The sequence below is a fragment of the Homo sapiens genome, chromosome 2 (assembly GCF_000001405.40).
Source record: "Homo sapiens chromosome 2, GRCh38.p14 Primary Assembly".
NCBI lineage: Eukaryota > Metazoa > Chordata > Mammalia > Primates > Hominidae > Homo > Homo sapiens.
Window position 1 is genome coordinate 230,490,944 of NC_000002.12, and position 15,338 is coordinate 230,506,281.

Consider the following 15,338-nt stretch of genomic DNA (forward strand, 5'->3'; position numbering starts at 1 on the left):
ATGTGTCTTGGGATTGATCTTCTCTTGGAGTATCTAGATGGTGTTCTCTGTATTTCTTGAATTTGCATGTTGGCCTGCCTTGCTAGGTTGGGGAAGTTCTCCTGGATAATATCCAGAAGTATGTTTTCCATCTTGTTTCCATTCTTCTCATCTCTTTCAGGTACTCCAATCAGTCATAGGTTTGGTCTTTTTACAAAGTCCCATATTTCTTGGAGGCTTTATTCAATGAAGCACATTGACTGTCCCTTGGTGTAGGAGGTGTGCTTTGGGGGCGGGGTGAAACCCAGTTGTCTGGGCTGCACGGATTCCTCAGAACTACCAGGAGGAAAGGCTAAGTCTGCTGGTTCATGGAGACTGCGGCCTTTCTGCTATGGGCTCAGGCCCAAGGACATCTGGGTTCTGTCCCTGAGCCTCTGGCTGGAGTTATTGGAGTTCCTGCAGGGAAGCCCCACCCAGTGAGGAAGGATGAGTCAGGGTCAGGCCTGAAGAGGCACTCTGGCTGTAGTAGGCCACAGCCAGTGTGTTGGGCTGTGAGGGACACATCTTGGGACCAAGCCATCCAGCCTCCCTGGCTCCAGCAGAGGAGAAGCATGGCCTGGAGCTATAGAGATGGATGCCACCCTTCCCCTGCCCAGAGAACTTAGAGTGTTAGGCAGTTGTGAGTCCCAGTGCTGGCTGCTGAAGTGCCACATTTTTAAACCACCAGATCTTGTGAGAACTGACTATCATGAGACCAGCAAAGGGAAAATCTGCCCCCGTGATCCAAATCACCTTCCACCAGGCCCCTCCCCCAACACACAAGGATTACAATTCAACATGAGATTTGGGTGGGGACACGGAGCCAAACCATATAACGATACTTTCAGCCTTCCTTACAGTTCGCTCTGACCATGTCATTAGGTTCTAGCCAATGGCATATAAGCAGAAGATATGTGAGCCACCTCTGAGTCTTTTCCTTGAAATAAATGAATGGGTAAGCAGCCCACACTCATTTCCTATTTTTTCAGTGGTTAGGAGTGTATACTTCCAATTTAAAGAAGGTTTGCTTTTTTGTTCTAGTGATTACTTTTAGGATTACCTTTATATGATTCCTTTGGTGCTCTATTTTAGACAGTATCCTTTAGTTTCCCACCCAGAAGATTTATAAAATCAGCCTGTGTGCCATTCCATTGTCCAGTCTTTTTCCTCTCCCATCCAATTTTAGGCTGTGCCATTACCATGTTTACCTTTCAGCCATTAACCTTGCTTTACATCTACTCTTGGATTTGTCAACACAATACCTTTGGATTCCTACCTATAAAATAAACAAAGAACTTGCCCTACAGCCTATTTTTGCTCTCTCCTCCCTGTTTTTCGTTTGTTTGTTTTGGTTTGGTTTGGCTAGAGACAGGGTCTCACTCTGTCACCCAGGCTAGAGGGCAGTGGTGCAATATTAGCTGCAACCTCTAACTCCTGGGCTCCAGTGATCCTCTTACCTCAGCCTCAAGAGTAGTTAGGACTACAGGTGTGCACCAACATAGCTTGCTAATTTTTCAAATTTTTTGTAGAGACAAGGTCTTGCTGGGTTGCCCAAGCTGGTCTCAAACTCCTGGCTTCAAGCGATCTTTCCACCTATGCTTCCCAAAGTGCTGGGATTACAGGCATGAGCCACTGCACCTAACCCTTCTCATATTTTTTGTTATTATACTATTTCTATATTGTCAGAGCATATGCATTTCATATTCTCATCTGTCACCCTACTGCTCACTTTTATTTTTGTCCTTTTGCCAGAATTTTTCAGTTCTACCTTAGTTTGCTGAAGTATATCTTCTAGTAATTTTCACAATAAGGACTCAGAAACTACATTCCAAGAATTTTTCTGTTCAAAATTATGTGTTTGTGTTATTTATACCTGAAAAATAGTTTGCTCATTCTTTGTTTCTAGAAATATCTTATAGGTTTTTCTCCACTCTCCCATGGCATTAAATGTTGCTGTGGAAAATTCTGTGGCCAATAAGTCTCCCTTGAAAATAACTTTTTGCCTACACCGCCCATTCAATTCTTTATTTATCTTTAAAGTCCAATAAATTTGTTGGAAATATATCTCAGTGTTGGCTGTTTTGGGTCAATTTCTCTGTCACAGGGTGAAGAGATAGGTACTTTTGATGTATACATTTCAATTTATATTATAATTCCACAGACTTTTTTCATCAAGTATTTATTCTATTATTTTGATTTTCTTCTTTGGGAACTCCAATAATTTGTTCACTTACATTGATTATTTTCTATTTTTTATTTTATGTTATTTTATTTGAAACAATGTCTTACTCTGTCACCCAGGCTGGAGTGCAGTGGAGCCATCTCAGCTCACTGCAACCTCCACCTCCCAGGTTCAAGTGATTCTCCTGCCTCAACCTCCCAAGTAGCTGGGACTACAGGCATGTGCCACCATGCCAGCTAATTTTTTTATTTTTAGGAGAGATGGGGTTTTGCCATGTTGGCCAGGCTGGTCTCAAACTCCTGAGCTCAGGTGATCCACCTGCCTCGGCCTCCCAAAGTGCTAAGATTACAGGGGTGAGCCACTGCAACCAGCTTATTTTCTAATTTGTTTAATCATTCTTAAAATTTCTTGTTTCCTTTACCTATTTCTGTAATCTATGTCCTTCACTTTAATTTCTGAAATGTCTAATCCCCTTTATTTGCCTTCTAAATTTGTCTTCATTTCTCTGATTTTTTTTTTCTACTTATTTCTTAAGTTCTGGCTGTTATAAACACAATTACAGCTTTAGCTCTTCAAAGTATGCCTCTGAATTCCACCAAGTGTACTTTACTGGTAATTTCTTTCTTTTTTTTATTTCTCTTTTTTGAGACGGAGTCTTGCTCCGTGGCCCAGACTGAAAGTGCAGTGGTGTCATCACAGCTCACTGCAATCTCCTTCCAGGTTCAAGCAATTGTCCTGCCTCAGACTCCCAAGTAGCAGGGACTACAGGTACATGGCACCACTCCAGGCTAATTTTTGTAATAGGATTTTGCCATGTTGATCAGGCTGGTCTCAAACTCCTGGCCTACAAGTGATTCACCCACTTTGGCCTCCCAAAGAGCTGGGATTCCAGGCACGAGCCACTGTGCCCGGCCATCACTGGTGATTTCTTAGACCTACTGTTGCTTGACCCTCTTGGTACTCTTCTGCTGCTGCTGTCACCTTCTGCTTGATTTCAGCTACTTTAAAAACTTTCTTTATTGTGAATGATAAGACCACATATGGATATGTACAAGCATAGTGTAAATGATTGGCACTGTGTAAAAACAGGTTGCTTTGTGGTTATTGGTTTCTGCGTGACAACAACCAAGATGGGATGTTGGTGGCCGAGGACTTAGCCCCGCAAAAGTAGAAGGAAAACAAAATTCAATGCTTGTAAACTATTGACATATAAAGTGTGTAAATCTTTGTTTATAGTTCTAAAGGATTATTTTCTTTCTTTTCTGTTTGCAGGAAAAAAGAGAAGGCATAGATCTAAAGTAAATGGTCTCCAAAGAGGTAAGAAGAAATGTGGGGATTTACTCCTTTGAACTCGCTGTGGTCCTGTTCTTCCTGCCAGACCCCATCTTTGCTGCAGCCTCAGAATCTCCTATGGGCCACGGTAGCTTCAGACCTCATGGATTCTTTAGAGTACCAGCTAAGTCATTGTAACAAACAGATCCCAAAATACAGTGGCTTAAACCAAATAATCTAAGAGCCCAGAAGTGGTAGGCAGTCTGCCTTCCTTAACATGAGGTTTCCAACTGTGGGTCCACAAGGGCTGAGCTGGTTGACATTGTCTCCCAACCAGTGGGAATGAAAAAAAAATTGACAAAAGAACCAGCCATTTATTTATTTTAATAGAAAGACTCAAAAGTCTTCTGCCCACATCCCATTGGCCAAAACTTGGTCACACAGCCAGAGCTAGCTGCAAAGCGAGGCTGAGAAATATAACGCTGGCCGGGCAGTCCTTGGTTCAGCTGTAAGTCTATTCTTATGGAAGAAGGAATGATTATGGGTGACAAATAGCAATATGCCTACTTGCCCTTTATGTTTGCCTCCAAAGTCACTGATTCCCTTAAATGTGGAGGAAAACTCAGACTCTCCATTTATTCAGATCCAGCCTTTTTGTCACCTGAGACTCTTTGGCAAGGACAGGAGCTGGAAGCTGAGATGCATTACAGAGATATGTGGGCAGAGACATGCCAGCCTTGATTAGGAAATGAGGGAACAGGAGGAAGTGTTAGAAAGGTGTGTTGTAACTAATACAGTCCAGGACAGAACATGGAGAAACAGACAGAGAGAACTTGAATCAATTACATGGAAGCCAGAGTACTGGTGCCACATCAGATCTAAGCCTGAGAAACACGGGGTTATTTTATTTATTTTTTTCTTTTTTGAGATGGAGTCTGGCTCTGTCACCCAGGCTGGAGTACAGTGCTACGATCTCAGCTCACTGCAACCTCTGCCTCCCAGGTTCAAGCAATTCTGCCTCAGCCTCCCGAGTAGCTGGGATTACAGGCGCATACCATCATGCCAAGCTAATTTTTGTATTTTTAGTAAAGACAGGGTTTCGCCATGTTGGCCAGGCTGGTCTTGAACTCCTGATCTCAGGTGATCCACCTGCCTCGGCCTCCCAAAATGCTGGGATTACAGGCAGTGAACCAAACTCAATCAGAGCATATGCCACACTGTGAAGATAAAAAAGACGTGACAGTCCATTCTCTTCATCAGATCTTGTGAATTTTATGCTTATTGCATTCCTCCTTTTCTTCCTCTTCTTTGTCTCTCTTTTATTTCCTTCCATCTCCCATTCTACTTATGCTTCTCTTGCATACTTTATTTCTTTATTTATTTTTGCATCTTGTAAAATACTTCTGGCAAGTTGATATGGCACTATAGAGATAGTAGCACTTTTTCCTCTAGAGCTAAAGCATATTTGGATATATTTTTTCCCATTACTTCTGATTATTTGTCTGTCACTCATATACATAGATATATATGTTTATGTAAATGATATATTTTCAAGTATAAGTAACTTTAAATATAACTCTACTATAAATAAGTATATACATATAATATTTCTAGCATCTCTATCATTTTTATTTCTATACCTATCTGTCATCTTGGTTATATTCCAGTTTGTACTTACCCAGGTCTAAGATGTTTTTTCCGTCATGTTTCTACTGGTTTCTATAGAAGCCTCTCTACCTTAACTATTTTATTAAAATACTTGGATTTGTTAAGTCTAAGCAGAAATCACATTTATTCCTTCTACTTCCTTTTCAAACCTGTTCTCTCAAATAGTTCTTTTCTTGCCAATGGATGAAGTCTTAGGTAAGCCCTAGAGCTATGCTAGTCCCTTTTAGCGGTAATATCTCATTTAATATTAAAAAGCGTGAGCTGATATAATATTAAAACTGGAAATTATGTGGTAGGGAAGCTGGGTGAAGTCAGCATTTACTTTCATCCACACTTCCTCTCCAACTCCACTCAGTGTCTATTGCTTTCAGCTAATTTGGGTCTAGGAGGAGGAGGAGAAGGAAGTGGACAGGAGCAGGAATGGTCCTCATACTATATAGGTTGGTGCAAAAGTAATTGTGGGTTTTGCCTTTTAAAAAAAAAGGGAATAGCAAAAACTGCAATTACTTTTGCACCAACCTTATAGATTTTGGTGTCTCCTAGATATGGTGGATGCATGAGCCATATTCATTTGTGAGTTCTTCAGAGACACTCAACTTAGAGAGAACCTCTCAACCAAAGTTCCCCTAATTCAGGAACTTCAACTGGATGCTTACCAATTCCCTCAGTCTCCCAGCTCTGGGAGGTCCACACTACACTCCTGCTGGGGTCAACTCATCCATCCAAGTGATTCTCCCAGACAGAATATCTCTCAAGAAGAACTAAGTGAGTTCCTCCTTTCCCTAGGGAGACCTATAGGAATTATGACTCTTCATACCCTCTCAACATTCTAGGATTGAGTCTATAAATGTCTCTGCCTTCCTCAAACTCCTGAAGGTGAAGATCAGTTACATTGAAACTGAAGTCTTCTCAGTTGCCTTAAGGACGGAGGAGCACTTTACTCAACTTCTATAACATGGTGTTAACCTTTAGTATTTGGGTAGGAAATCCAAGAATAGCCACACTACTTCCTGTGGGGTATTTGAGCAAGACAATTTGCAAAGAATAATTACAAAGGAAGTCCCAAGAGCTCTATAGTATTAGCAGATCTTAAGCCCCAAATCTTCTAGTAAGTAGAGCTCGAGTAAACGGAACTAAACTACTTGTATACCTCTAATTTGTTTGTCCTCAGTGGACTTTGATGAAAGGTGACTACAACAGGACCAAAGACATAGATGAACAGAAAAAGAGTCTTTGTTTGTCTAAGATATTTATGGTTGGACAAGTTCAAATTGTGGCCAGGCCATATAAAGAAAGAAAGGAAAGAAAAATGCAGGGAGATGGTGTGAGGAGGGAAAGAGGGAAGGAGGGAAGGATGAAGGGAAGGAGGAAAGGATGAAGGGAAGGAGGGGAGGGGAGGGGAGGGGAGGAGAGGAGAGGAGAGGAGAGGAGAGGAGAGGAGAGGAGAGGAGAGGAGAGGAGAGGAAAGGAAAGGAAAGGAAAGGAAAGGAAAGGAAAGGAAAGGAAAGGAAAGGAAAGGAAAGGAAAGGAAAGGATCAGCACCTTTAAACATGGCACTCATGAGATGCTCCTGCACATACCTCACTGTCTTTCTACCTACCCCCATCACCTGCTGAATCTAACAGCATATTCCTGAAATAGGGTTTTAATCAACCCTTTGTTAGTCCTAACCCTAAGGCTTTCTGGGACTTGAATCTCTATACAAATTCCCCTTGGACAATAATCTCTTGGTTAGTTTCTTAGATCCTAATTTTTTGGCCAAACCTATGTGAATAAGGTCTTTGGTCATTTTCACTGTATTTTCAGCCTCAAAGCCTTCATTGAGGGCTAAGATGGTGGCTAGTGTGTCACCATCATAATGAGCAGGACAATCCAAATTCTTGCATTGCTGCCATTGATTTCTGCCTACAACCAGAGGAAATCTGCAATGCTTCACTTCATTTTGCAATATCTGTATGCTGAAGTTTCTTCATTGGTCATAGGGGTAGTAAAAGTCTCTATCTCATAAATGAATTAGTAGATGTAAATATCTTGTGTTAGTGTCTAGCACATAATAAGCACTTAAGTCTTAGCCCTCATTATTATTATTCTTACAGTATTCTTTGGGATATAAATGAAACTGTCGTAAATTCTTTTTAAAATTAATGTTGGGGGGAGGCAAATGAATTTGGATTAATGTCACGGGAAAGGAAAGAAAATCTAGGATGAACCCAGGTTAACCATCAAAGGCTTGGTAATTGCAAGGCTATGTGTTACATATTTTTCTTTGTGTGTTAGGCTCTGGAAAAGTTATAGCTAAATAAAATTTTTGAAAGCACTATTATATATAATGTGAGTTTTTTACACCATCCATATTTATATTTTCCTATTTTCTCAGGGAGAAAGAAAGACAGACCTAGAAAACATTTAACTCTGAATAACAAAGTCCAAAAGAAAAGATGGCAACAAAGAGGTAAAAAAAAAAAAATACATTTTAAATAAATAACGTCTAAATTCTCATGCTCTTAGTAAGAAACATTTTTTTCCTAAATGCTTTATGTAGCTGTACTTACTGTTGAGAAATATATCAGATGTAGTCAAGTTCCAAAATATGTCAGGGAAAAAAAGATGATAACACCACAAACAAGTAGCTAGGTGATGAATCTGCAACCATACCCCAGGGCCCAGGAGCTGCTTGCAGTGCTTCCTCTCCTGAGCTGATAACTTTCAAGGCTGGAAATAGTTGCTGGCATAAAAACAAAAACAAAACAAACAAAACCTATGTAATTCACAAGTGATGTAGCTGTCCCTCCTCTTGCCCATCACCACGTGGTAATTGTGTGGACTTGGGTCTGCCCCAAGTAAATTACAGTTTACTCATCTGTAAAGTGAAATTAAGTCAGTTAGACAAGACTGGCTGCCCTCCAAGGCCCATACCAGCTTCCCATGTGGCTTCTCATTCCGTGGATCTCCTACAGGACTCGGTAAAAACTATGGACAGCCCCCTCTCCCGCATCATCAGCACAGAGCTCTTGTAGACTGTGCCTCTTCCCCAGTGTCACTGGCTGGAAGGGTTGGAACAGCAGCTCAGAATCCTCAAGTTAATTTTAAGACCTTCACACCTGTTTCTACTAAATCAGCTCTTCAGTCCCCACCTCCACCACATAGAGGCTCTAAAATGCAAAGCCTCCTCCCTGTACAACTTGCAGATGATTCTGGAACTCTGATGAGCTGTTCTTTCAGCCAGGAGAAAGGTGCATGAAGGAGGAGGCAAGCAGAGAAGACAGACATCATCTCCTGCCAGACTGCCCTGTTGTTATCCTGCTCAAATTTACAGACAAATTTGTCATCTAAAAGAGTTTTAACACCTAAAACTCTTTCTCTGGCCACATAACTTCATATAGACTCTCTCTCTCTCTCTCTCTCTCCCCCTATATATATATATATAAATGTATGCAACTGCTTCTCCATAGTTGGTGGTGGCAAACCTGCTTGGGAATTAAGACACTGGATGGTCCTTCTAGAAGATACACAACCCACTGCTGTTCCCTCAGTGAGAGTATCTCTTAAAAACACCCAGTACAGCTCCCATCCACAAGGTCTGCACCAGACCATGGGAATCGTGCTTCTTCATTATTCCCCTGCTGGCTCCCAGCTCAGCCCTCTGGCACCCTTGACCCCGCTAGCCATGACCTTCACCTTTACACTTCTCAGAGGTGAGTCTGAGAGTCTCTCATTCCCTGACATTCCCAGGGACGGAGGTCCATCTCCTGCTTAGATGTCTTTAAACCTCATTTGGCTTGAGAGAAGGTATCTGACAATTCTCTCCAGAGAAATGTGGCCTCTCTCATAAGGCCTGGAGGTGGGGAAGGCTGATGCTGGCAGAACCAGGCTCCCAATCCCCTACCATGTTCTTTGCAGATAGACTGGCATCTTGCCTTAGGATATAGGAGTACTGGGCTCCTATTGTGGCATTCTTGGATGTTGAGGCTTCTGCTAATATTCTGAGATAACCAAAGAGTCGCCTAAACACGGTGATATACTCTTTTGCCAAGAATGATTAGTCCCTGCTATGAAAAAATATATATTTTAAAATAACTTTTAATTTTTTCTGACCATATTATTATTTTACATGGTTAATGTAGAATTAAAACTAGTAGACCCAAGAACAGTTAAGTCCTACTTTGTCCAGGCATTTGACTGCCCGGATATACAATTGTAGTGAGGTGCTGGAGCCAGCGAACACACAAAGAACCACTGGAAAGCACAGTTCTGCGGCACTTTATTATACATGATCTGCTCCTCAGCCCTGATGTCTCCAGGCCAAGAGCTGGGAAGCAGCGCAATGAGCTTCTGGTGTTTTGCCCTGAAGTTGTTTGCCCTCAATAGGTTTTGATTGAAAGGAAATCCCTGCAGTCCAAGAAGGATTTAAACAAGAGATAAACTGAGAGCAAGAGAATATACATTGACCAATAATGGCTAGGGCTGAACATACCCAGGTTATGGCCAGAGCTGGATCTCCAGTTTGACCACTTTATGAGAAAGAAGAAAGCAGACAGAACACAAGTGTCTTTTGATGGAACTGTGGGGAGAAGGGAGAGTTGGGGGAAGGAGGAGAGAAGAGTTAGAAGTGGCCAGTTTTCCTGGGTGCACCTGCAACTTGAGCATCATGAGTGACAGGAGGGAGAGTCCCACACAGAACCACCCCTGTGTGGATGACATTTTACTGTGGCAACCGCATCAACTACCATACTTGGCCCAATCATGGTCTTTGAAACTGATCGATCTAGAGCAATTTTACCTGAGAGACAAGGAACGAGTGGTAAGAAAGCTTCATCTAATTCCTTGAGGTCTCCATTCTTCCACATTTTACGTGTTTCTTTTAAACCTTTAGTTCAGGCCAGGTGTGGTGGCTCACACCTGTAATCCCAGCACTTTGGGAGGCTGAGGCAGGTGGATTGCTTAAGCCCTGGATTTAAGACAAGCCTGGGCAACATGGTAAAACCCTGTCTCTACTAAAAATACAAAAATTAGCCAGGTGTGGTGGCGCACACCTATAATCCCAGCTACTTGGGAGGCAGAGGAAGGAAAATCACTTGAACCTGGGAGGTGGAGGTTGCAGCCAGCCGAGATCCGTGCCACTGCACTCCAGCCTGAGCAACAGAGCAAGAGGGCAAGACTCGGTCTCAAAAAAAATAAAGGGGGTTGGGGGGAAACCTTTAGTTCAATAGCCAAGTTTATAATTCTTTTATATGGGTTTAGTCATCTCTCCTCCCCATGTATCTCCATAATATTTTAATAAACTTCCTAAGGGCAACATCTTGTGCGGTAGAGCATGCTTTTTCTCAGGATATGATTCCTCTTGACATGTGAATTATCAGTAAATGTCTGATGGTACCATTTTTATCTTGATGAAGTTAAAAAACAAAACAAAACAAAAAAACCTCTAAGTAATTGTTATGACAGAGGCCCAGAAAATACAGTGTCATCAATCCCAAGGTTTCTTTATGCTAGATTGAAGGAAACATGCCTTTCCAGCCTAATCTCGTCATAATTTGCTCAAAGGAAGGAGCATTCACAATTGAGCATCTGGAGGAGTTTTTCTCCTGGGGCTTGCAGGACCCAAATCCACACCCTATGATACCAGCCATGGGCACAGAATAATGGGCACAGACCTTAAGAAAGAGCATCCACTTTGTGTCCCTGACTTCAGCAAACACGTTTGAACGATGCAGATCTAAACATACATCTGGAATGACTGGCTATTTATTTGGACACACCGATCAACACATAGATACATGCTTCCAAGATTTGTTTCTTTTTTGAGATGGAGTCTCGCTCTGCTGCCCAAGCTAGAGTACAGTGGCGTGATCTTGGCTCGCTGCAATCTCCGCCTCCCGGATTCAAGCAATTCTCCTGCCTCAGCCTCCCGAGTAGCTGGGATTACAGGCACATACCACCACACCCAGCTTTTTTTTTTTTTTTTTTAATTTTTAGTAGAGACGGAGTTTCACCATGTTGGCTAGGCTGGTTTTGAACTCCTGACCTCAGCCTCAGAACTCCATCCACCTTGGCCTCCCAAAGTGTTGGGATTACAGGCTTGAGCCACCGGGCCCAGCCCTGAGATATCTTTTAAGTCAATCCTTTGTGCTATCTTTAACCATACAACTCTTAGGCCTTGTGCCTTAATTTCTACAAGTTCCTCTTGAATAGCCTTCATTGGGTTAGTTTTTAAGTCCTTGGTCATTTTCCTCACCATTTTCAGTACAAAACCTTCCAAGTTTACATATCTGACTGGTAGAGTCTACCATGAGGTCTGTCTTGAGACCTTATGTTTCTACTTTTTATCTCTGACTCTTTCCCAAAGAAAATTGTCAACACTTTAATTTATATATTTATCTCTGAGCATCAGTTTCCTCATCTGTAAAGTGAGGATAGTACTAGTGCCTATTTAATAGATTTTGTTGTAAAGATGAAGTCGGTTAATAGAGGCAAAGATCTAAGGATAGCTCCTGGCATACAACAAGCACTGAATACGTGTTCAACTTCATTCTTGCTCTCCTCCTGTTGCTTGGGAAGCAGGTAAAATACTGTTTCAAATTTATCTGGAATGATTTGGAGACGTTAATAGAGAAATATAGGATACATCTCAGTTAAGCATCGTGGCTGTAACCGAGTCTAGATCAGAGGTCAGCAAAGTATGACCTACAGGGCAAATCTATCCTGCTGACTGTAAATAAAGTTTTACTGGAACACAGTCACCGTCGCATCCTTTGATGAATTCATGACACAACTACAGAGTTGAGTAGTCACAACAGAGGTTATGAACTGAAAAACCTTAACTACTTACTATCTGTCCCTTTACAAAAAAAGTTCCCGACTCCTGATATTTTTCTTTAAGTTCTAGACAGGATCCTGAAAAGTTGCATTTGAATGGTGGTTTTGTAAAACACTACTATTTGCAATGTAAAGAGACATTTATGTTGTTTTTCAACTTTCTCAGGAAGAAAAGCCAACACTAGACCTTTGAAAAGAAGAAGAAAAAGAGGTAAATAGAAGTGATCGATATGTTTTTCATAATTAAACATTTAATATTTAATATTCTGTACTGTGAGTAACAAGTCAGTTTTCTTAATTGGCATATGGAGCTAGTACTGGAGCCTTAACGTTGACCAGCAGTTCATTTTAAGACCCTCAATACCTGCTTCAGTGGAATCAGATCCCCAGTGTCCCAGTCAACCCCTCATGCAGGGTTCCCTGAGCAATGTGCACGTTCTTTTTTGTTGATTGATTGATTAATACGTAATAGATAGAAATACTTGGGGGTACATGTGACAATTTGATACTTTCGTATAATCAAATCAGAGTTATTGGGATATCCATCACTTTAAATATTTACCTTTTTTGATGCCAGGAACATTCAGATTATTCTCTTTTAGCTATTTTGAGATGTATAATCAATTCATGTTAACTATAATCACCCTATTGATCTATTGAAAACACCAGGTTTTATTTCTTCTATCTAACTGTATATCTGAATGCTTCGTCAATCTCTCTTTATCCCTCCTCTCTCAATGTGCAGTTTCTTCTAGAACCCCCCACACCAAGCTTCCCTTTTAGCGTCGGAGAAAGCTCAAGTGAAAAAGTGAAGCAAAGCAGTTGGCAAAGAGGGAGACAGATGCCACCCCGAAAGGTGCCCCATTAGGTGCCACTCTGCCATCCTGCCCTCTGTCCCCTCAGTCAATGCCTGGAATGGGGAGATGAGGCTAAAATTTGAGAGTTTGTTTTAACACAACATCAAAGCAATATGAGTGGAAATCTCCCTTCAAAACATCAGGAGGAAAATCATTGTGTGATAGGTGGATATGACCAACCAGCTTGAAAGTTGAGATCCTACCACATGCCAGGATGTTGTGTCATATTTTAGAGGGTGGAATGGAGGACAACAGTATCTACAGCTATCTAATGTGCCATGAAAGAAGGACTTTGAAATGTAACTGATTCATGGGGGAAATACCTCCAATACATTTTGAATTATAAAAGAAAGCTCTCAAGACAGGTGGGGAGGGACAATGCACAGTTGTAAAAGTAGATGGAATGGAAAAAAAAATGCTTCCTTGCAGGTCCAAGAATTCCCAAAGATGAAAATATTAATTTTAAACAATCTGAACTTCCTGTGACCTGTGGTGAGGTGAAGGGCACTCTATATAAGGAGCGATTCAAACAAGGTGAGTTTACTGGTCCATCTACGATTTTCAGCTGGAAAATATCCACACAGATAGCATACTGTTTAGGAGTAGACACTTGCCTTTGAGGTTCTGCAAAACCAGCCCCAGGCTTGAAGATTTGCTAGGAGCTTTCCTAGGACTTGGGACATCATCACATTTACAGCTAGGGTTTATGAGAGAAGCATGCAAAACATACCATAGGGAAAATGCACATGGGGTGAAATTCAGAGACAACCAAAAGCAAGCTTCCAGGAGTCCTCTCCCAGTGGAGTCATGCAGGACTCATTTAATTACTGCAGCAACAAATTGTGACAACACATGTAAAATGTTGTCTACCAGGGAAACCAGCCTGAGTTTAGGAGTCCAGGGTTTTTACCAGTCACATAGGTGCCCTCTGCCTAGCACATACCAAAATTCCAGATTCCCAGAAGGAAAGCGGGTGTTCAGCATAAACCATATCATTTGCGCAAACAGTTTAGGCACAGTGAGCCCTCTTCTTCATTTATGGTTATAGATAAATGCAATTTATTTACATATGTCTGAAAATAATACATCAGGATCGGTAGTTCCCAGATTACACAACATTTTAACAAGATTTCTTTGGATAGGCTATCTCAAATTTATTCTTGTAAGAGAATATAAATAAATTGCATTTGTTTATAACCATAAATAAGAGGGATTTATCTCTAAAGGGCTTTATCTTTATGGATAAACAATATGTTTATCCACATTGTTTATTATGAACAGTTTAGCCCACAGTGAGTTCTGGGAATGATAGAACTCTCCTAAAATCCAAATTCCTAAATGCCAGTGGCCAAACTTGCATATGGACAATGGCCAACCTTGCATATAGGCCCTCTAAGGAAAGTCTCAGGCCCACTCTGTTAACTCTGTTTTGCACAACAATGACATTTTCACACTTTCAAAATTCATAAAACATTAACCTATGAGGCCATCTCCTCTTACCCTATGTGAAAGGCCCACAAGACATCCAACTAGCACCCACTACAAGGGCAAGCACCTCAGTACTTGGGTGGAAAATGTACACATCTGAGAATCTCAGCAGTAACTTTCACGCCCCATTTCCCATAACATCTGTTTAGCCTTCTGCTAAATGGTAAGATCACAGGGTTTAGAATCAGAAGACCTGCATTCAAGTTTCAGCTATACCAAGAGTGTCTGATTCATCTACAGCCAGGTGCTCGGTCTCTCTAACCTTGAACTTCCTTCTCTACAAAATCAGAACAATAATATAACTTGCCTCACTGTATTATTATGAGAAAAAAATAAAAAAACAGACATAAAATACTTTGCAAGTTACAATTGTTAAATTACAGAACTAATGTTCATCTGTCATGGTTGACACCTCCCCACAACATAGTTCTTTGAGCACCAACAAATATAAATGTTTGCCCCATGACTATGTTGCATAAGCATAATTTAACTTCTCCCACTATATAACATTTCCATAATTACTTTTAATATAAAATAGCCATGAGTTCAAAATATGAAACATAATTGATTGTACCACATGTACAACATGGTACAAGACAAGGCAGATGTGGCTGTAGTAACAGCTTCCACATGGCCACTTGGGGACCCAAGAGCATGGTAGAGGGCTTTATGCCTTCATCCACCTCTCTGAAATTCAGGCTGACTCTATATCAGGTCTCAGAGAAGGGAGGAGGAAGAATTCTGCTCATTCTTTAGGGCCATTCTTTGCACCCACCCCCACCTTTGGAATATAGCAAAATACGTTGAAAAGGTAAATGTTGGTAGTAATATTTCTTCTCATTGCATGATGGTCAAAGAAATGTACACACATGACAGAGAGAACCCTTCATCTCTGTTCCTTCAGGCTGGGTATGAAGCCCCTGATATCTGACAGGAAAATTCAGACTTTACTGCTACGATCCTAAGCCCAAAGTGGGTGGCCCCAGACCCCAGCATGGGGGGAGGCCAAGTTCAGGTGTTTTCACAGTTGGGGAGCT

General features: G+C 41.3%; 1 protein-coding gene and 1 long non-coding RNA gene across 6 annotated transcripts in view, besides 1 other annotated feature; one reads left to right on the top strand and one right to left on the bottom strand.

Moving 5' to 3' along the window:
• Window positions 1-15,338, top strand: part of SP100 (SP100 nuclear antigen) — a 129,406-nt gene that overhangs the window by 74,743 nt on the left and 39,325 nt on the right. For all 3 annotated transcript variants that reach the window (NM_001080391.2, NM_003113.4, NM_001206701.2), the window contains exons 18-21: window positions 3,473-3,517; window positions 7,518-7,592; window positions 12,123-12,167; window positions 13,243-13,347. In NM_001080391.2, the coding sequence (NP_001073860.1) occupies window positions 3,473-3,517; window positions 7,518-7,592; window positions 12,123-12,167; window positions 13,243-13,347 (270 nt within the window). The remainder of the gene's footprint in view (window positions 1-3,472; window positions 3,518-7,517; window positions 7,593-12,122; window positions 12,168-13,242; window positions 13,348-15,338) is intronic.
• Window positions 1-15,338, bottom strand: part of LOC101928816 (uncharacterized) — a 71,871-nt gene that overhangs the window by 49,509 nt on the left and 7,024 nt on the right. For 2 of the 3 annotated variants that reach the window (XR_001739925.2, XR_001739926.2), the window contains exon 3: window positions 6,604-7,865. This is a non-coding gene — a long non-coding RNA (uncharacterized LOC101928816). Of the gene's footprint in view, window positions 1-6,603; window positions 7,866-15,338 lie in introns of those variants that run through there. The other variant, XR_427235.4, reaches the window with a different exon arrangement.
• Window positions 14,175-14,344: an enhancer, noted in NCBI's record as "active region_17225". NCBI's record gives its function as "activates an Ori minimal core promoter by ATAC-STARR-seq in GM12878 lymphoblastoid cells {active_cell/tissue: GM12878}" and the evidence as "EXISTENCE:reporter gene assay evidence [ECO:0000049][PMID:35858748]".